Source organism: Homo sapiens, chromosome 1, assembly GCF_000001405.40.
Source record: "Homo sapiens chromosome 1, GRCh38.p14 Primary Assembly".
In the NCBI taxonomy this organism is placed as follows: domain Eukaryota; kingdom Metazoa; phylum Chordata; class Mammalia; order Primates; family Hominidae; genus Homo; species Homo sapiens.
The window spans coordinates 171,292,681-171,314,131 of record NC_000001.11 but is presented as its reverse complement, the minus strand read 5'-3'; the positions used below and the strand labels follow the sequence as shown (position 1 = coordinate 171,314,131).

The 21,451-nt window shown below is 42.0% G+C and overlaps 3 annotated features.

Moving 5' to 3' along the window:
- Window positions 8,711–9,211: an enhancer, noted in NCBI's record as "H3K27ac hESC enhancer chr1:171274060-171274560 (GRCh37/hg19 assembly coordinates)". NCBI's record gives its function as "activates a minimal SCP1, AML or CMV promoter by ChIP-STARR-seq in primed H9 embryonic stem cells {active_cell/tissue: H9 hESC(primed)}" and the evidence as "EXISTENCE:reporter gene assay evidence [ECO:0000049][PMID:30033119]".
- Window positions 13,986–14,776: an enhancer, noted in NCBI's record as "OCT4-NANOG-H3K27ac hESC enhancer chr1:171268495-171269285 (GRCh37/hg19 assembly coordinates)". NCBI's record gives its function as "activates a minimal SCP1, AML or CMV promoter by ChIP-STARR-seq in primed H9 embryonic stem cells {active_cell/tissue: H9 hESC(primed)}" and the evidence as "EXISTENCE:reporter gene assay evidence [ECO:0000049][PMID:30033119]".
- Window positions 14,777–15,569: an enhancer, noted in NCBI's record as "OCT4-NANOG-H3K27ac hESC enhancer chr1:171267702-171268494 (GRCh37/hg19 assembly coordinates)". NCBI's record gives its function as "activates a minimal SCP1, AML or CMV promoter by ChIP-STARR-seq in primed H9 embryonic stem cells {active_cell/tissue: H9 hESC(primed)}" and the evidence as "EXISTENCE:reporter gene assay evidence [ECO:0000049][PMID:30033119]".

The following is a 21,451-nucleotide window of genomic DNA, read 5'->3' as shown; positions in this document are numbered from 1 at the left end:
TTAGAATACAGCTGTTGGATTGGCAGAACATAAACGCTTCCTGCCCCTTTACCCCACCCTCCTCAACGTCATAGTTCTGGCAAAGCCCTAAAGCTATGGGAAGCACATGATAGCGTCGCTTTTGCCATTATAGTCTGTAGAGGGCGCCAAATCACCCCAAATTACAGCTTTCTCAGCGAAACAGGAGTTCTACTTTTGGAAACAAACTTCTACACCCTGACTCTTGCTTGGATTACCATAGGAGCTGTCCAAAGGAGAAAGTTATTTAGATGACCATTACCTCATCAAGTTCTTTCATGCTTGGAGTTCTCCAACCCCAGAAATGTGATTTTAAAGTTCAGGACTTACAAGGAATTTAAGCTGTTTTGTCCTTCAGATTGGATCAGCAGAGGGAGCTGGTGAAATGTGTTTGAGAAAGCATAAAGCTATTTTTAGATATTAACCTAGGGCACAAGAAAGGTAATAATTATAGAAGCTGTGGCAGAAATAGAAAACTTAACTGTTTTTCCTTCCACTGTGTGCTTGTAAGATAATATAACAGACCATCTTTAGGACTTGTGTTTAGGGACATTTTCCAACATGGTTCACTGAACAATTTCTAAACCACATTTGCTTGTGACTACACATGCAAATGCCTACAGGAGTGAGGAGGGTAACATACACGAGGAAAGTGGGCCAGATATGATCTGACTGGAAAGTACTTTCTCTGTCTATTCAGTTCAGCTAAATGTTGCTATTTGAGAAAATGAGCCCAATATGGCAAGGCCTTAGGTTCTTTTCAGTAAAAGCTGCAAATACAGATTTTAATATAAAATCTTCTGTTGGCAGCAAATATTTTCTTTTGAAAAATATCATGGAATATTATGCAGCCATAAAAAGAAATAAGATCATGTCCTTTGCAGGGACATGGATGAAGCTGGAAGCCATCATCCTCAGCAAACTAACACAGGAACAGAAAACCAAACACTGCATGTTCTCACTCATAAGTGGGAGTTGAACAATGAGAACACATGGACACAGAGAGGGGAATGTTGTAGGGCCTGTTGTAGGGTAGGGGGTGAGGAGAGGGAACTTAGAGGAGAACAGGTCAATAGGTGCAGCAAATCACCATGGCACACGTGTACCTATGCAACAAACCTGCACGTTCTGCACATGCATCCCACTTTTTTTTAGAAGAAATAAAGAAAAAAATTTAAAAAAAGAAAAAAAAATATTGTGTCCAGAGTTAGTTCCTTCCGGTGGGTTCCTGGTCTCCCTGACTTCAAGAATGGAGCTGCGGACCTTTGTGGTGAGTGTTACAGTTCTTAAAAGATGGCACAGACCCAAAGAGTGAGCAGCAGCAAGATTTATTGTGAAGAGCGAAAGAACAAAGCTTCCACAGAGTGGAAGGGGACCCGAGCCAGTTGCTGCCGCTGGCTGGGGTGGCCAGCTTTCTCTTATTTGTCCCCTCCCATGTCCTGTTTCTGTCTTATCAGAATGCCCTTTTCTCAATTCTCCCCACGATTGGTTACTTTTAGAATCCTGCTGATTGATCCATTTTACAGAGCGCTGATTGGTCCATTTTACAGAGCACTGATTGGTCCATTTTACAGAGAACTGATTGGTGCATTTTACAAACTTCTTGCTAGCTACAGAGCACTGATTGGTGCATTTTACAATCCTCTTGTAAGACAGAAAAGTTCTCCAAGTCTCTACTCGACCCAGGAAGTCCAGCTGGCTTCACCTCTCAATACCCCCTTTAAACAGGACACCCCAACTGCTTTTGAGAATTGCGCAATGACTGCTCTAGCTACTTCCTGCTGGATAGGGGTGAAGAAGAGACCCTGAATTGTAGTATCCTCCAGAGGGAAACTCTCTAGGTATCAAAGGGCCAGTGGGTCGATCCAGGGGGTCCTTGGTAGAAGTTGTTAGTTGAGCTCATTTGGGGTTTAATTTGCAAAACCATCTGTAGCTTGATGGCCTCGATCCTGGAGGAAACAAATTGACAAAGAGCTTAAAAATACAGGGCCCGAAGGCAAGTAATAGCAAGATGGTTGTCATGAGACCTAGAAAGGGGAGAAGCCATGTTGCCCAACTCCAGAGAATGGTATAAGAATTTGAAAGGCATTGTCTGATTTCAGAAGACTTTTCCTGTAAATGCCGGGTGGCGTCTCATATTAACCCTGACTGGTTAGTGTAAAAGCAACACTCGTCCCCTAAGAAGGTGCAAAGTCCTCCTTTCTCAGCAGTGAGGAGGTTAGGCCTCAGTGGTTTTAGAGAGTCACTGCTGCCAAAGAGTCTATTTGGGATTGTAGAGTAAGGATAGATTTTGTTCTTTCTTGCAAACTGCCTGAGAAATGCTTTGAGAGTGTGTGGTAGTAGGATAATGAAGTGGATAAATCTGCTATTCCGGTTCCTGTAGCAGTGGCCATTCCTAACCCTATAAGTAGGGGTATTAGTTGTATGGCCCTGTGCTGATGGACTTGTGCTTTGAGGAGCACTGATAGGGTCTGGGCAATGTTTATATTGGGACTTAGGAAGACTAAGGTGCAGGTGCCTGTCCAGTTGGTGGGGAGGCAGATATAGGTTGACATTCCATGTAAGAAGAATACGTCTTGGCTGGGTAGACAGAACTGGTTGTGTACGTTAAAAAGGTGTGTGAGTTTGTTGTTTTCATTTTCCCATACTCCTAGAGTACGTGCCAAGGTGGCTCCGGTGAGTGGCTGGAAAGGGGTGTTGGGAGCAAACTGAGTGGCTCCCTGTGCTCTATCTTCCCATTGGGGGAAAAAGCCGTTTTGTATCTACTAGGAACCATTCAATAGATTAATTGAAAGAGGGGATGAGGAGGCATTCACTAGTGGTGGGGGCACTGCTGCAGGGGGTCCAGGGGTGAATGGTCATGCAGGGAGTATGTTTGCTATTAAAAAACCCAGACTGTTTGTTAAGCAGGGAGGAGGTGATGATTTTTGGAGGCTCTGAGAAGTGGACAAGCCATCTGAGTGGAGCTGTTTGGGTGACTCGGAAGTTACTATAATCAGTTCGGGCTTGAAGTTGTAGGATGTAATTACACTGATGGGATAATAGGTCCCCCAGGGGCAGGCCTGATAACGGGTTGTGTTGGATGCATAGAGGGGCTTGGAAAGTTAAGATGGTATTCATGGTTATAGGGATTTGCCTTCTCAACCTTCCCTAAGGATTGTGGCCTCCAGGCGCAGTGGAGGTAATATGATATCCCTAGCACCCTGGAAATTCCCTGTTACCGTGGCTTTAAAAGCCAGACCATTGTCACTTTGTAAGCTTTGGGGAAGCCCAAATCTAGGAATTATTTCATGCATTAGGACTTTAACCACTTCCTGAGCCTTCTCTGTCTTGCAGGGGAAGGCTTCTATCCAATTTGTAAAGGTTTCAACACAGACCAACAAGTGTTGAAATCCCTTAGACTTAGGCATATGGGTGAAGTCTAACTGCCAGTCCTCTCTGGGATTGTGCCCTATTCTTTGTTCCCCCAGAGGGGCCTTATGATGGACCAAGGGATTATTCCTTTGGCACACCTCACAGGCTTTGACTACTTGTTGGATGGTCCAGAGGAGATTTGGACCCGTAAATAGAGATTTAGCCATTTGATGAGTGTTCTCAATACCCATATGAAAAGTTTGGTGGAGGGTCTTAAGTATTTTCCACTGTCTGGCTTCAGGTATGAGTACCTTTCCCTCTTCCGTAGTGAACCACCCTGAGGGGAGAAAACTATGCCCCCGTGAAAGTCCCCATTCTGTTTAAGTTGGGAAATACTGGGGCTTAATCTCTTGGAGAGGGTTGTTCCATACCAGTGGCCCTTCTACAGGTATTTCTAATGGTAGGTTCCACCTGGCAGCAATTTTGGCCTCAGCATCTGCCCGACAGTTTCCTTCTGCCTTTTCTCCTTCACCTTTTTGATGGCTTTGGCAGTGTAAGACTGCCATCTCCTTAGGTTTTTGCACCACATGCAATAACTTAATGATTTCCTTGTGGTATTTAATGGGGGTTCACCCAGAGGTTATGAACTCCCTTTCTTCCCACATTGCAGCATGGGCATGTAGGATTAGATAAGCATATTTGCTATTTGTATACACATTTATTCTTTTTCCCTTTCCCAGTTCTAAGGCTTGGGTAAGTGCCACTAGTTCTGCTAACAGTGCTGGTCCCTGGAGGAAGATGCTTACTTTCAAGTACTGTTACATCATTAACTATGGCATAACCTGCCCTTCGTATCCCATTCTCCACAAATGAACTTCCATTGGTATATAGGTTAAGGTCAGGATTAGCTAAGGGGACTTCTAAGAGATCCTCTCAGGTGACATAAGTCTGGGCTACAATTTGTTGGTAGTCATGCTTGATTGGCTCTCCATCCTCTGGGAGAAAAATAGCAGGGTTGAGGGCCACACACGTGTGTATTTGAAGCACTGGTCCCTCAAGGAGTAGTGCCTGGTATCTAAGCAGGCGTTTGTCTGATAGCCATGAATTTCCTTTGGCACCTAGTATGCCATTTACATCATGAGAAGTCCAGACAGTGAAATCCTTTCCTTGTATTATTTTGATAGCCTCTAATACTAAGATGGCCACTGCCACAACTACCCATAAACAGTGAGGCCAGCCTTTTGCTACTACATCAGTTTCCTTACTTAGATATGCCACTGATGTGGGGTTGTCCCATGAGTCTGAGTAAGGACTCCAAGAGCTATTCCAGCTCTTTCTCTGACGCATAAAGAGAAGTTTTGTCCTGTGGAAGGCTTAAGGCTGGAGCTTGTGCTAGGGCCTGCTTTAAGGTTTTGAAGGCTGTTTCTGCCTCTGGTTCCCATTCTACTAGATGAGTATTTGCCCTCTGGGTTTCCTTGATTAGAGTATAGAGTGGTCTGGCCTTCTCGCTGTATCTGAGGATCCATAGTCAGCAAAAGCCGGTGATTCCAAGGAACTCCCACAATGATTTTCATGTCTTAGGGCAAGGATAAGCCAGTATAGGCTGTATTCATTCCTTGCTGAGGGCCCTGGTTCTTCTGGCTAAGATTAGGCCTAGATATCTGAGTTGTTGTAGGCAGAGCTGGGCCTTGTACCTTGGATTAGCTAGAAAATTCAAGAGATCCAGAGTAGCCTGCTGGCATGAGGCTTCTGAACTGGTAGCCAAAAGTAAATCATCCACATATTGAAGGACCAGAGTGCCTGGACTTGAGAAGTGGCCTAGATCTTGGGCCCGTGCCTGACCAAACAGATGAGGGCTATCTCTAAACCCTTGGGGCAAGACCATCCATGTAAGTTGGGATGTGTGGTGTGTGGGATCCTCAAAGGGAAAGAGAAACTGGGAGTCAGAGTGCAGGGGTATGTAGAAGAAGGTATCCTTAAGGTCCAGAACTGTGAACCATTCTGCTTCCTCTGGTATTTGAGAGAGGAGGGTATAGGGGTTGGATATAGAGAAATTACTGCCTCATTGATAAGTCTAAGATCTTGCACTAGTCTCCACTGACTATTCGGTTTTTGTACTCCTAGAATTGGGATGTTGTGGGGACTGTTGCATTTTCTTACTAAGACTTGAGCTTTTAAATGTCTAACAATATCCTGTAATCCTTTATGAGCTTCAGGCCTTATGGGATATTGCGTTTCATAAGGAAAAGTAGTGGGGTCCTTTAGCCTGATTTGGACTGGGTGGGCATTTTTTTGCCCTTCTGAATTGTCCTTCCAATGCCCAGACTTCAGAGTTGATTTCCTCCTCCAGAAGGGGACAACAAATGGGTAACTTGTTCCCATATTCATATAGGTAATAGCTCCAGCTTTGGCCAATATGTCCCTCATTAATAAGGTGTGGGACTTTCAGGCATAACAATAAAGGCATATAAAAAGAGCAAAGTCTCCCAATTACAGCTGAGGAGGAGGGACAAATACCTGATTACAGGCTGTCTCAGGATTCCTCGGATGGTAACAGACCTTGAGGACAGCTGTCTGGGGCAGGAGATTAACACCAAGAAGGCCACACCAGTGTCCAGGAGGAAGTCAATTTCCTGGACCTTAACGGTTAATCTTACCCAGGGCTCAGTAAGGGTGATGACATGAGCTGGCACTTGCCCTGGTCACCCTCAGTCCTGTTGTTGGATCATCTGGTTGGGGGCTTCTGGCTCAGAGAACCTTTGTTCTCTGGGGCAGTGCACCTTCCAGTGATTGCCTTGTCATAGCGGACATGGACGAGGATGTGGCTTGTTTCTTGTTGGACAGTCTTTTTTAAGGTGTCCTTGCAAACCACACTGATAACAAACTGTACCAGGTGATTGGCCTGCTCCATTTTCTGCCCTCTCTGAACCACCAAGGTTGGTTTGTCTGAGGGCCATGACTAAGGCTGCAGCCTTTCTCTGATCTCACTTTTCCTTTTTGGCCTGTTCCTCTTGGTCCCTATTATAGAACACCAAGGTTGCCAGGTTTAATAATGCCTCCAGATTTTGTTCAGGGCCCAGGGCTTGCTTTTGGAGCTTTCTCCTGATATCTGTGGCTGATTGGGTAATAAACTTATCTTTTAGCATCAATTGACCCTCAAGGGAGTCAGGTGACAGGGGAGTATATTTTCTTAAGGCCTCCTGTAGCCGCTCAAGGAAGACAGAAGGATATTCTTCCTTTCCCTGAGTTATGGTGGACATCACTGAATAATTTATGGGTTTTTTTCTATTCTCCTTAGTCCTTCTAGAACACAGGTCAATAGTTGTTTGTGACTCCAGTCCCCATGATCTGAGTCGAGGTCCCAGTGGGGATCCATACTGGGGATGGCTTGCTGACTGGTAGGGAATTTGTCCCTTTCTTCGGCTGTCATTCTATCATTTACTTGACTAAGGTACCAGGTATCTCCAAACTCTCAGGCTGCAGCTAAAGCCACATTCTTTTCATTAAAGGCCAGGGTTTGATCTAACAATAGCATGACATCTCTCCAAGTGAGGTCAAAGGTTTGCCCTAGACCCTGTAGGACATCTAAATACCTATCAGGATCATCTGAAAACTTCCCCATGTCTACCTTGATCTGCTTTAAATCAGAGAGGGAGAAGGGGACATGTACCCGAGTTGGGCCAAATTCTCCTCCCCCTACAGCTTGAAGGGAACATAACCGATAGCCCAGGGGTTTTTGTGGTCCCTTGGAGATTTCTTTGCTTGTTTCCTTCTGGGTAGGGGAGATTAGAGGAGACTTATCATTAATAGAAAGGGGAGCTATAGGAAGGCTAGGATATGGAGGTAAGCTGAGAGGTCCTCTTGTGGAATGTAAATTGCAAGCTTTGCATAGTTGTAGATTATCCTTCAATGAAAAGAAAGCTTTGACATAAGGTATTTCATTCCATTTGCCTTCCCCCTTACAGAAAAGGTCAAGCTGCAGGATAGTATTGTAATTTATACTTCCCTCAGGTGGCCATTTTTCCCCATCAGGGAGAGAATATTGGGGCCAGGCCATAGTGCAGGAAAAAAGATAAGCTGTTTATTTTTCAGGGGTTGTGGATCAAATTGGTCTCAATGGCTTAGGATGCATTTCAAGGGTGAGCCTCTTGAGGCCCGAGTGTTTCTCATCTGAAAGAAAAAACCACCCACAGTTTTGGTTTGTTTTTTCCCTCCCCCGTAAGAACGCACAACGGTCCCTGGATGCTGCTGATCGGAATAGTTGTGCTCACTGAAGCAGCAGTGGAAACACTAGTTTTCCTCCTAGACCGAAAAAAGGACCAAGGAAGGTTGGATTTAGTGGCCCTTACTGATGCACTCTTGAAAACCTGCACCCTTGCCTTTCCTCTTAGACTACAGAGGACTGAGAAAAATTGGATTTAGTGGCCCTTACTGATGCATTCTCAAAAACCTGTTAGAGTCCTAAGCATTTTTTCCTGTTAGTATTGGGACCTTACCCTTGTCCTATAAAGATAATATGCCTCAAAATGGAGTGGAGGGCCATACCTTGAGGGAGGGAAAGGATCTCTAGGGTTTGAAGGGTGATGCCTTTTGTCCTCACTTCTGAGGACATAGGAAGGATATAATTTCCGAGGCTCCCCATATCCTAGCTTCGGGAATAGCCTTTGTTAGGCCTGCTAGTCTGAGGAGGGATCTTAAAATTCCAGATAGTCCCCCCACCCTGATGGGGCTTTGGGCAAAAATTATGTCCTTCTGATTGGTGAGGCTGGGTGCCTACAGAAGGGAACAGAGTCCTGAAATTTACACTAGAAATCATTCTTATAGGAGAACCTAGAAAAGCACCAGAGACAGAGAGTGGTTTTTAGAAGCAGGAGTGGCCTTGGAGAAGAGAGGCAGGAGGAAGTTTGTCTGACAGGTGTTAGGACCCAGGAGGCAAGGCTCAGGATAGATAGGATAGATGGGTGAGTCTCGCTTGGGCAATGTGACTTTGAGAGTTCTGCTCATGGCTGCAGGGTCAACCAACTTTTTGTCGGTAACCAGGTGCTGAATGGCTTTCCTCTCTGTCGACCCTCGGCTCAGCCCGGAAGTACTGAAAAAGCAGAAGCTGGTTCCAGGCAAACCAACACTCCCAACTCCAAAGAGTTGGGGGTGGTTAGAGAGCCCTTTCCTAGAAAGCCTGACACCCATGTCTTTAGTCTGGCAGCTGCACTAGTAGCTTTTAACTGGCCGACAGGTGCCCAGTGTTTAGCCCCTGAATTCTAAGGAAAAATAGGACAGAATAGCAGTGAAAGTGGTCCGATGGTACTCACCATGTGGCAAAATCCCAGACAAGCCCCCAGGATGTGTCCAGAGTTAGTTCCTTCCAGTGGGTTCATGGTCTTGCTGACTTCAAGAATGGAGCCGCGGACCTTCGCAGTGAGTGTTACAGCTCTTAAAGATGGCAGAGACGCAAAGAGTGAGCAGCAGAAAGATTTATTGTGAAAAGTGAAAGAACAAAGCTTCCACAGCATGGAAGGGGACCTGAGTCGGTTGCCACTGCTGACTGGGGTGGTCAGCTTTTATTCCCTTATTTGTCCCCTTCCATGTCCTGTTTCTGTCATATCAGAATGCCCTTTTCTCAATCCTCAACGTGATTGGTTACTTTTAGAATCCTGCTGATTGGTCCATTTTACAGAGTGCCAAATTGGTGCATTTTACAAACCTCTTGCTAGCTACAGAGTACTGATTGGTGCATTTTTACAGAGCACTGATTGGTGTATTTTACAAACCTCTTGCTAGCTAGAGTGCTGACTGGTGCGTTTTACAATCCTCTTGTAAGACAGAAAATTTCTCCAAGTCCCCATTTGGCCCAGGAAGTCCAGCTGGCTTCACCTCTCAATATCAAGCCCACAGAAAGGTCAAAAGAACAGTTTTCATTAATAAACACCAATATGTCACTCCTCCTCCTCCTCCTCCTCCTCCTCCTCCTCCTTCTTCTTCTTCTTTTTTTTGAGACAGTGTCTTACTCTGCTGCCCAGGCTGGAGTGCAGTGGCTAGATCATGGCTTCACTGCAACTTTGACCACCTGGGCTGAAGTGATCCTCCCACCTCAACCTCCTAAGTGGCTGGAACCACAGGCACAAATCACCATGCATAGCTAATTTTTAAATTTTTTGTAGAGATGAGGTCTCACTATGTTACCCAGACTAGTCTTGAGCATCTGAGCTCAAGTAATCCTCCTGCTTGGCTTCCCAAAGTGCTGACATTACAGGCATGAGCCACTGTGTTTAGCCTGTGGTTTTTGTTGTTATTTTTGTTGTTATTATTTTTGTTTTTTGGATATTAACATCTTATCAGACCTATATTTTGCAAATCTTTTGTCCCATTCAATAGGTTGTCTCTTCACTCTGTTGATTGTTTCCTTTGGCGTGCAGCTTTTTAGTTTAATATAGTCCAATTTGTCTATTTTTATTACAGTTGTCTGTGCTTTTGAGGTTTTAGCTATGAAATCTTTTCCTAGACCGATGTCTTGAAGTGTTTTACCTATTTTTTTTTTCTAGTAGTTCTGTAGTTTTGGGTTTTATGTTTAAGTCTTTCTTTTTTTTTTTTTTTTTTTTGAGATGAAGTCTCACTCTGTCACCAGGCTGGAGTGCAGTGGCATGATCTCGGCTCACTGCAACCTCTGCCTCCCAGGTTCAAGTTATTCTCCTGCCTCAGCCTCCCGAATAGCTTGGATTACAGGCATGTGCCACCATGCCCAGCTAATTTTTTGTATTTTTAGTAGAGACAGGGTTTCATCATGTTGGCCAGGATGGTCTCGATCTCTTGACCTCATGATCCACCTGCCTCAGCCTCCCAAAGTGCTAGGATTACAGGCATGAGCCACTGCACCCAGCCTTATGATTAAGTCTTTAATTCACTTTGTGTTGATTTTTGTATATGTGAAGAGATAGTGATCCAGTTTCATTCTTCTACATATGGATATCCAATTTTCCCAGCAGCGTTTATTAAAGAGGGTGTCCTTTCTCCAGTGCATGTTCTTGGTGCCTTTATTGAAAATCATTTGGCTGTAAGCACACGGATTTATTTCTGGACTTACCATTCTAGTCTGTTGATCATGTCTGTTTTTATATCAATATTATGCTGTTTTGGTTAATGTAGTCTTGTGATATATTTTAAAGTCAGGTAGTATGATGCCTCCAGTTTTGTTCTTTTTGCATGGGACTGTGTTGGCTGTTTGGGCTCCTTTTTGTTTCCATATACATTTTAGGATTGCTTTTTGAAATCTGTGAAAAATGACATTGTCCTTTTGATAGTGTTTGCATTGAATCTGTAGATTGCTTAGGGCAGTATGATCATTTTAATGATATTAATTCTTCTGACCCATGAGCATGAGATGTCTTTCAATTTATTTGTGTCTTCTTCAATTTCGTTCATTAGAGTTTTGTAGTTTTTCTTGAGGATATCTTTTACTTTCTTGGTTAAATTTACTCCTAAGTGTTTTATTTTTATTTTTATTTTTGGCTATTGTAAATGGGATTGCTTTCCTGATTTCTTTCTCAGCCGGTTCATTGTTGGTGAATGGAAATGTTATTGATTTTTGTATGTTGATTTTCTATCTTGCAATTTAACTTAATTTGTTTACCATTTGTAAGAGTTTTCTGATGGAATATTTAGGGTTTTCTAGATGTAAGATCATGTCATCAGTAAGGAGGGACAATTTGACATTCTCTTTTACAGTTTGGATGTCTTCTTTTTCTTTCTCTTGTCTAATTGCTCTGGCTAGGACTTCCAGTACTATGTTGAATAGGAGTGGTGAAAATGGGCATCCTTGTCTTGTTCCAGATCTTATGGGAAAGGCTTTCAGCTTGTCTCCATTCAGTATGATGTTAGCCATGGCTTTTCATACATGGCCTTTATTATATTGAGGTATGCTCCTTCTATTCCGAGTTTGTTGCTAGTTTTTATCATGAAAGGATGTCGACTTTTATCAAAAGCTTTTTCTCTGTCTATTGAGATGATCATGTGGTTTTGTCCTTCATTCTGCTTTTTAGAATTTTTATTATATTTAATTTTTTACCAAGTGGTTCTTACAGAGACAGTTTCATTTTGTTGATGTGATGTATCATGTTTATTGATTTGTGTATGTTGAACCATTCTTGTATCCCTGGTATAAATCTCCCTTGGTCATGGTGTGCTGTCTTTTTGATGCACTTTTGGATTCAATTTGCTAGTATTTTGCTGAGGTTTTTTATATCTGTCTTCACCAGGGCTGTTAGTAGTAGTTTTCTTTTTGTGTTTCATCCTTCTCTGATTTTGGCATCAGGAGAATGCTAGACTCATAGAATGAGTTACAGAGAGTTCTCTCCTCTTCAATTTTTTCAGTAGTTTCAGGAGGATTGATATTAGTCCTTCTTTATGTATTTGGTATAATTCAGCTGTGAATTTATCCAGCCCTGGGCTTTTCTTTGTTGGGAGACTTTTTATTACTGATTCAGTCTCACTACTCGTTACTAGTCTGTTCAGGTTTTCTATTTCTTTCTTGTTCAATCTCAGTAGATTGTATGTTTCCAGGAATTTATTTATTTCCCTCAGGTTGTCCAGTTCATTAGTGTATAGTGGTTCATAATAATCTCTGCTAATCTTTTGTATTTCTTTGGTACCAGTTGCAATGTCTCCTTTTTCATTTCTGATTTTGTTTATTGGGGCCTTCTCTCTGCTTTTCTTGATTAGTACAGTTAGAGGTTTATCAATTTTGTTTATCTTTTCTAAGAACCAACTTTCTTTGTTTCATTGATGCTTCATATATTTTTTATATAGTCTTTATTTTATTTAGTTTTGCTTTGATTTTTATAATTTCTTTTCTTTTGCTAATTTTGGTTTTGGTTGGTTCTTGCTTTTCTAGTTCCTTGAGATACAACATTAGGTTGTGAATTTGAAATCTTTCTACTTTTTGATGTAGGCTTACATTGCTATAAACTTCCTTCTTAGCACTTTTCTGCATCCCATAAGTTTTGATGTGTTGTGTTTCCATTTTCATTTGTTTAAAGAAATTATTTGATTTCCATCTTAATTTATTCATTGACCCCCTGGTAATTAAGAATTACATTGTTTAATTTCCATGTATTTCTATAGACTCCAAAGTTCCTATTGGTGTTGATTGCTAGTTTTATTACATTATTGTCTGAGAAGATAATGGTATGATTTTGATTTTTGAAAAATATATTGAGACTTGCTTTGTGGCCTAACATGGAATATATCCTGGAGAATATTCCATGTGTTGATGAGAAAAATGTGTATTTTGCAGTTGTTGGATAAAATGTTCTGTAAATGTCTGTTAGTCCTATTTGGTTTACAGTCAGTTTAAATTCAACATTTCCTTGTAGATTTTTGTCTAGATGATCTGTTCAGTGCTAAGAGTGGTGTGTTGAAGTCCATAAATATTATTGTATTGGGATCTATCTCTCCCTTTAGATCCATTATATATCAGGATGCTCCAGTGTTGGGTGCATAAATATTTATAATTGTTATAGCTTCTTGCTGAATATATCCCTTTATCATTACATAGTGACCTTCCTTGTCTTTTTTCTGCTTTTGACTTAAAGTCTGTTTTATCTAAGTGTAGCTACTCCTGCTCACTTTTGGTTTCCATTTTCATGGAATATTTCATCTCTCCTATATGTGTTTTTACAGGTAAAGTGTGTTTCTTGTAGGCAGCTTATAGTTAGATAATATTTCTTTATTCAGCCAGTCTCTATTTTTTAAATGGATAATTTAATCCATTTACATTCAAAGTTATCATTGATATGTGAGTTTTTTTTTGTTCCTATCATATTGCTAATTGTTTTCTGGTTGTTTTGCATACTTTTTGTTCCTTTATTGCATTGTATCTGCTTGGGGACCCTTAACCTCTTGTATCTGGATGGCTAAGTCTCTTGCTAGACTTAGGAAGTTTTCCTTTAACATTTTAATAAATAGGTTTTCCAATCCTTTTGTTCTCTTTTTGCCCTTAAAGACACTGATCATTTGAATATTTGGTGGCTTTATGTTGTCCCAAATGTCATGAATTCTTTGCTTATTATTTTTATTCATTTTTCTTTATTTTTGTCTAACTAAATTATTTCAAAAGACCTGTCTTCAAGTTTTGTGATTATTTCTTCTCTATAATCTAGTCTATTATTGAAGCTTTCAAATGTATTTGGTATTCATTCAATAAATTTTTTACTTCTAAAATTTCTCTTTGTTCTTTAAAAAAAATCTATCTCTTGGTAAATTTCTTATTCATATCTTGAATTGTTTTCCCGATTTCTCTGTATTGTTTTCAGTACAGAGAAACCTGTATTTGCAGTGTTCTCTTGTATCACACTGAGCTGCTTTAAATTCAGTATTTTGAATTCTTTATCTGGGATTTCATGAATTTCTTTTTGCTTGGGATCTGTTGCTGGAAAATTATTGTGTTCCTTTGGGGGTGTCATAGTTTCTTGTTTTTTCACATTTTCTGTTCCCTTATATTGATATCTCTGCATCTGGTGTAACAATAACTTCTTCCAATTTCTTGAAGTTGCTTTTGCTGGGGAGGATTTTTCCTGAAGATTTATTTACATTTTTGGTTCCATGGGGTGCTTTTACTTTGATTTTGGGTGCATGCGGGAGTGTAGACACTGTATAATTTCTTCAGCTGTAAACAGTATCAGTAGTATCTATGATTTCCTCAGTGGCTTAGTGAGTGGTTGTTAGTAGAGTCTAACTCCCCTCTTCCTTGGGCAGCAGGTGTGATGTGAGCAATGGCAGTAGCAATGGTGGAGCAACCCCCTGGAACCTAAGCAGTCTGTGCTAGTGTTAGTGTTGGTTGTGACAGGTTGTGTAAGCCAGTCTCCTGGCCTACTGGTAGTGTATGTGAATGGGTGCTAGCTGTGGTGGTATCAGCAGGTTGGGTCAGCCTGTTTAGGTGCCAGGGAAGGTAGACTAGGTTAGGCAATCTCCAGGCCTCTGGATAGTGTGCTTGAGTTCTGGAGGGATGGGACTGGACTGGCTGGATTGACCTTGCCATGACTATGACGGCTTGCAGAAAAAAGAAAGTGAGAAGTTTAGAGTAAACAATTTCCTTTTTTAAGTAAGTGAGGGAGAAATTGCACACATTATCTCTATTCACATACTGTTTTCAAGAACTTGGTCACATGGCCACACAAACTGCAAGGAAGACTGGGAAATGTACGTGCCAGAGAGGTGGCCATGTGACCAGGATGAAGGGGGAAACAGACTTTTTGGGTGCAAGCAGCTACCTGTCAGATTGTCCTTCTGGAAGACTCCTGGAATTACTTTCCCCTCTTTTTCTGCAGACTGTAGCCTGAAATTTTGGTACTATCCACTTACTACACTGAGAATGAAGCTGGCCTAGGGAGAAGGGCAGATCCAAGGGAAATGTGGAGAATTCCCATTCTCAGGGAATGTCACCGAAGCTACTGGATTAAGTCCACCCAGAAGCCCTCCCTATTGCTGGACTCCCAATTATGTGAGCCACCAGTTGTTTCTTGTCATGCCAGTTAACTTTGAATTTTCTGTTTCTTGAAATAGTAGCAATGGTGGAGCAACCCCCTGGAACCCAAGCAGTCTGTGCTAGTGTTAGTGTTGGTTGTGACAGGTTGTGTCATAAATTAACCATACTAACATAGGAGTTATTAATAAATTAATTTTAGGCAGCTAGAAAGGGTAAAAGAGTTCTCAGTGAAATTTTCCTTCAGTAAAAAGCAGCCCCCAAACCATTTCTTCCCTCACAGAAAGCAGCCTGAAAAGTCGAGCTGCAAGCATAAATATGCAAGCTAGAAGCTTTTATATGTAAATGCCAGCAGCTGTACCTGGAAGCAAGGTATGTTCAATATGCCATTTTGTGCTCTCTTTTCCTTGTCACCACCTGTGCAGGTGTCATAGTGACCACCAGGTAGAAGCCGCATTTGCATAACAAAAAATTAGGGTGGAAGGGCCAGTCTTTTCATAGGCTATTTAAATAGCACACCTGGTCAAACCAACTGACCAGGTAAATCAATCACTGCGTCCTCAAGCCTCTGTGCAAAATTGATCGTGTTCCACCCCAAACCTGGAGACCCTCTCTTGGGCGACCTGCTTTCTCAGCATGAGAAAGCTTTCTTTCTCTTCTTTGTCTATTAAACTTTCCTCTCCTAAACCCACTCCTTGTGTGTGTCCATGTCCTGAATTCTTTCTTGGAGCAAGACAAAGAACCATGGGTATATCCCCAGACAACGGAGCCATTTCAATACCACTACTGACAGACACGGTTATTTACACTGTGAAAGGAAATTAATTTTGGGACCCCAAACACATTTAACCAATGGGAAAAGTCAAGTTGGGAACTGGGTCATGCAAATCTGCCTTCCCCTTTTAGTTCCTAAATAAGATGGCTACAAGATGAAGAGCTACACACTTCCCCCATATTTTGCCCACAAGGAAATTCCTAGTGAATTGTTAAAACTTCACCATGGCAGTGCAAATTGATAGCTTATCTTTATAATGTGCAGTTACCTCAGCTCACCAGACACAAATGCATATCTGATTGTTCCCCTACTCCATGTTGTCTGTGTTATCTTATGTAAAATGCAGATTCCTGTATTTTTCCTCTGCTCCTTTTATGTCATCTTATGTAAAAATGCACTTACATGAAAACTGTGTCCTTCTCAATATCCCGCCCTTTCCACTTTAAATTTGGAGCCTTTTGCCTTTGGAGAAAGGCATAGATCTGTCTCCTGGGCAAGTCCTTAACTTTGGCAAATAAATCTCATGAAATGATTGAGACTTGTCTCATCATTTTTCTTGATTGACATCTGGTAACCACAAAGGGATCCTGAGTGAAAGATACCTGGCCTGCTGCAGTTTGCCTCTTGGTGATTGGTACTAGCTTGGGCACCTTACAGCCCAAACCGATAGGATGATTTGCCGAAGTCTGGGAATCTTCCAGCGTTTTTCAGTTGGGGATCTGAGGTTTGAATGCTGTTAAAAAAAAAAAGTCTTTATTTTGTGGGAGTTTTTCCACTTGCTTCCATCAAGGAAGGCAAGCTCATCTGCTTCTGCATCACTGGAGAGTTGTCTTCAGCTTGGGCCCCCATCGCTAGGTAAGAAACTGGTTTGGGATTCTGTCTTGCAAATTCTTTTAAATGACTAACATTAGCATTAAGAACAAGCTGGTGTTAATTTCTTGCTTACACTTAGAACACTCAGAAATCGTATAACTTGTGTGATCATTGTGAGTTTTGCTTAACTGTTTTGTTTGTTTATGTTTTTGTGTATGCCTATATGTGTATGTTTTTATCCTTTCCCCTATTGCATTTGACCAACACCAAACCCTCTAGCTCATTAGTGTGGAATCTTCCACTCTGAAGAAATAGAACACCTTGCTCCCCTTAGCCTTTCTAGGCATTCTCAGGTGACTGAGAATCACATGAGGGTGTCTGGGAGAAATGCTCCCTAAGATGTGCAGTGGCTCTAAATAAGTTTCCCCCTCAGAAGAACATACTTAGGGTCTAATCTCAGCTGGCAGGTGCATGCAAGGAACTAACGCCTCCTGCACCTTGAGCCCCTGACACATTGTGCCTGGTAGCTGCAATATGTGTGGACCAAACCAGTTCAGGGTGTAATGGCCCTGAAAAGCTAGGTTTGCAAGCAGCATATTTTGGGTGTGACACATGTCCTGACTTGGTCAAATCCAAAGAGGAACTCTAAATTATGGAGAACGAGGCCTCTAAGACCCCAGCAGCTGTGGAAGATAAACTTCCCCCATTAGAAACTCTGGCTGGGTATATGCAAAATACTTATGGTGAATCATCATGCAAATATTTAACCAAGTGGACCACTATAACTAAAGCAGATTCTAAATTACAGTGGCTTAAATGGGAATCTTTTGAGATGCCCAAATTAGTGTACTTGCAAACCAAGATGGAAAACGCAGAGACAAAAACTAAACAACCAGAATGGGAGAGCCATTTTTAGTGGTATCTGGAAAGTAGCAAAACTGGGGAAGGCCACCTCATCTCCCTACAGGAGGTGAACAAACAAGTTAGAAATGCTAGTCAAGAACTCTCTCATCTTTTATCTCCCTTAAATAAATCCTTGGGATCTCTTGCTTCCCCCTAGGCACCTCCCCCACCTCCACCTCCAACCCCACTCTACCCTGACCTCTCTGAAATTCCGGGACCAGATCTGTCCCCACCTTCTCCTGCATGTTTAACACTCACTTAACAGAAGGCAGTTGGGAATCTGACTTCAAAGACCCCACCCACGGAAGATTACCCGACAGCCCCAATGCAGCATCTCATCTGGAAGATGTGGAAAAGGGGAACTCCGCAGGGACTTCTCTCATGATAACCCCATTTTGGGAACAGCCAATAACAGGTAGGGGAACCCCAGTGATTGTCTATGAACCCTATTCAAAGGCTGAATTACAAGGCATAAAGAATTTCCTGACCCTCATAAATATCCAATTGGGTTTGCCTGAGAATTTGAGCTCATTATATGAGCTAGGTTATTCAGACCTTCATCAGCTAGTCTACATCTTGATCTCAGAAGCTAAAGCTAAGGAATGGCTGGAAAAAGCATAATGGTCAGATCCTATAGCAGATTTGACCCCTGAAGGCCCAATAGAGTCACAAGAACCAGCCCCACCGAATTCAGAAGACAGGCATAAAAACGTGCTGGAAAGAGTCACTGCTCTGTTAAATAGCATTCCTTCAGTGTTCCAAAGGGTTATGGATTGGAATAAAATCCAACAATGCTGCTAGAACCCAAATGAATCAGTTTTAGACTATTTCACACATTCTAATAAAACTTTAAGACAGTGTTGCAGTATGTCAGCTGATTGCTTTAAAAACAATAAAAATGATACATTATTAGATGCAAATTTCTTTATTAATTTTTTTTTTTTTTTGAGATGGAGTCTCGCTGTGTCACCCAGGCTAGAGTGCAGTGGTGCCGTCTCGGCTCACTGTAACCTCTGACTCCCTGGTTCAAGCGATTCTTCTGCCTCAGCCTCCTGAGTAGCTGGGAAGACAGTCACGCGCCACCATGCCTAGCTCATTTTTGTACTTTTAGTAGAGATGGGATTTCACCATGTTGGCCAGATGGTCTCAATTTCCTGACCTTGTGATCCGCCTGCCTTGGCCTCCCAAAGTGCTGGAATTACAGGCATGAGCCACTGCGCCCAGACAAAAAATTTTTCAATTAAATGGACTAGATCGTGATTTAGCCACCCTTGTAAAACACCACATGACAAATTGGGCCATAGCCAGAACTAATGAACGAGTTAACCTAGCTGACAAATTAGCCCACACTATGATAAAAAAGGAAAAACAGAAGATTGCCTGAGTTATGCATTTACAGCTAAAGCAATTAACTTCTCTTGGCCCCAGGAAGAATCTAAGCTTCCTCAGTCTGAGAACTCTTCACTTCTAGTCTGTTACTACTATAAAAGACCGGGACACCTTAAGAGGGATTACCTTAGGCTGAAAGAAAAGGCAGGAAAATGCAACTCTGGAAGACGAGGGATGCTCCAAGGAAATGCAGGGGTTTCACCTCTCCAAATATTCTACCCTGACAAACAAATTGGGAGAGACTAATATAATAAACCGTAAGCTTACAACTGCCTTATTTGATGCAGGTGTGACCATATTGCTGATAACTCCTGTCTTAATTAGAAACCCCATTCTCTGGAGTAATGAAAGAATTTACATGGCGGGAGTGTCTAATAAAACAATCTTATGTTTTAAGTCCAAATCTGTACCTTACTGGTTCATCAGGTTCAGCTCCCCCGCTGAAGGCTCTAAGTGTGACATGCTCAGTAGGTCCCATATGTTTCTTACATGCCCTGGGTCCCCTGTCAATCTTTTGGGCTGTGACCTCCTCCACATCCATAATGTCTATATCTCTTTTTCATAAAAAAGTGAACCTTTTTTAGAATTGGAGCCAGGGTACCAAAAATACCAAATTAAAAAATGTCCTGACAATGTACCACAATTTACTACTAGTAATGTTAAAACATAAGCTTGTGACTGGGAAAATAAAATGGAGACAGAGAAGGAAATATTGGGGGGAAGAGAAAACACTGGAATAAAAAACAGGAAACATTACAACTCTTTCTAGCTTCCCCAGTCTTCCTGTTAATGCCAGAAGCAGAGCACTTACTCAAGGATATCCCCTCCCATTTATGGTCTCAGTCAAATGCAGATATAGGAAAAATATTCTCAGCCACTCCAATAAAGGTGGAGATGAACCCAAAGAAACCCCTACCCAACCTTAAACAATATTCTCTACGACAGGAAGCCATAGATGGAATTGCCCCTATCATACACGATTATCTGAAAAAGGGGCTTATTATTCCCTGCACAAGCCCCTGCAACAGCCCTGTATTCCCTGTAAAGAAACTAAGCAAGAGAGGACGGAGAGTTGTGCAGGACTTGAGGGCAATAAGCAATATTGTAATACCCAGGCACCCAGTAGTCCCAACCCACATACCCTTCTATCAGCTATACCCACTACCAGCCAGTATTTCTCAGTTGTGAATCTCTGTAATGCCTTCTTTAGTATTCCTGTAGATCCAGTCAGTATTTGTTTGCTTTTGCTTGGAAAGAACAGCAATATATGTGGACTGTAATGTCCCAAAGGGTATACAGAAAGTCCCACTTACTTTTCCCAAATATTAAAAGCTGATTTAGAGTATTTAATTTTTCCCCAGGACTCAACACTCATTCAGAATGTGGATGACTTTCTCCTTTGTCCAGACACACTATCTATCCTTTCAGGAAGATAGTCTATATTTACTCAAACAGCCACCAAGGGACATAAAGTGTCCAAAGACAAACTTCTGCTATGCTTACTGCAAGTTAAGTATTTGGGGCATATTATCTTAGTCAAAAGACTGAGTATTAACCCCGACAGAGTGAGAGGAATTTTAGCTTTCCCAATGCCCATTGCTAAGAAAAAACTTAGAGGATTTTTAAGCCTGGATGGCTATTGTAGAAACTGGATACCATATTTCTCCCTTATGTCTCAACCTCTGTATGCATACCTAAAAAATAAACAACCTGATCCCATCAGGTGGACTCCAGAGGCACAATCAGCTGTACAACAAATAAAGGAAATTCTAACTAATGCCCCAGCCTTAACGTACCCAAACTACAAATTGCCTTTCTCCCTTTTCGTACATGAAACTGGAGGTACTGCATCCAGGGTACTGACCTAGAGACATGGTGATCATCAGAGACCTATAAGCTATTATAGTCAACACCTGTACCCTGTGGCTCAAGGGCTGCTTCCTTGTGTGACAGCAATAGCGGCCATGACCCTTCTGTACAAATCTGTTGAAGATACAATTATAGGTTCCCCTCTTACCATTTTTGTGCCACATTCTCTTGAAGCCCTTCTAAACTCTCATCATACTCAACATCTGTCAACTGGTTAGCCTCTTATGAAATTTTGCTTTGATCATCTCCCAATATTACCATTTCCTGCTGTAATAATCTTAATCCAGCCACTCTCTTGCCAGGACCTTCCAACAAAACCCCCCATGACTGTGCTCTGATGACTGACTGACTTCTCTCTCCCAGGACAGACCTACAGGAGATGCCACTGGATAATGCTGAGACAGAATGGTATACAGATGGGTCTTATTTAAGAGGAGAGGATGAAAATTTTAGAGCAGGATATGCTGTGGTTTCCTTACTAGAGGTAATTAAAGCCAGTCCTCTTCCCCAGGCCAGATCAGCTCAAGTAGCCAAATTGATTGCCCTGACCCGAGCTTGCCAACTGGCAAAAAGACAAGGCTGCAACCATTTACACTGACTGCTGCTTTTGAGGTTGCTCATGACTTTGTTATGTTATGGAAAGAGAGAGGATATTTAACCTCCTTGGGGCAACCCATAAAAAATGGACAACAAGTATCAGAGCTATTAGAAGCTATTCTAAAACCAAAATGTTTGGCAACTATGAAAATCCCAGGTCATTCAAAATTAGACACCATAGAAAGTTAGGGTAACCAACTGGCTGAAGCTACAGCTAAAAGAGCAGCATCCGAGCCACCAGTCCCAATCTGGGAAATGGC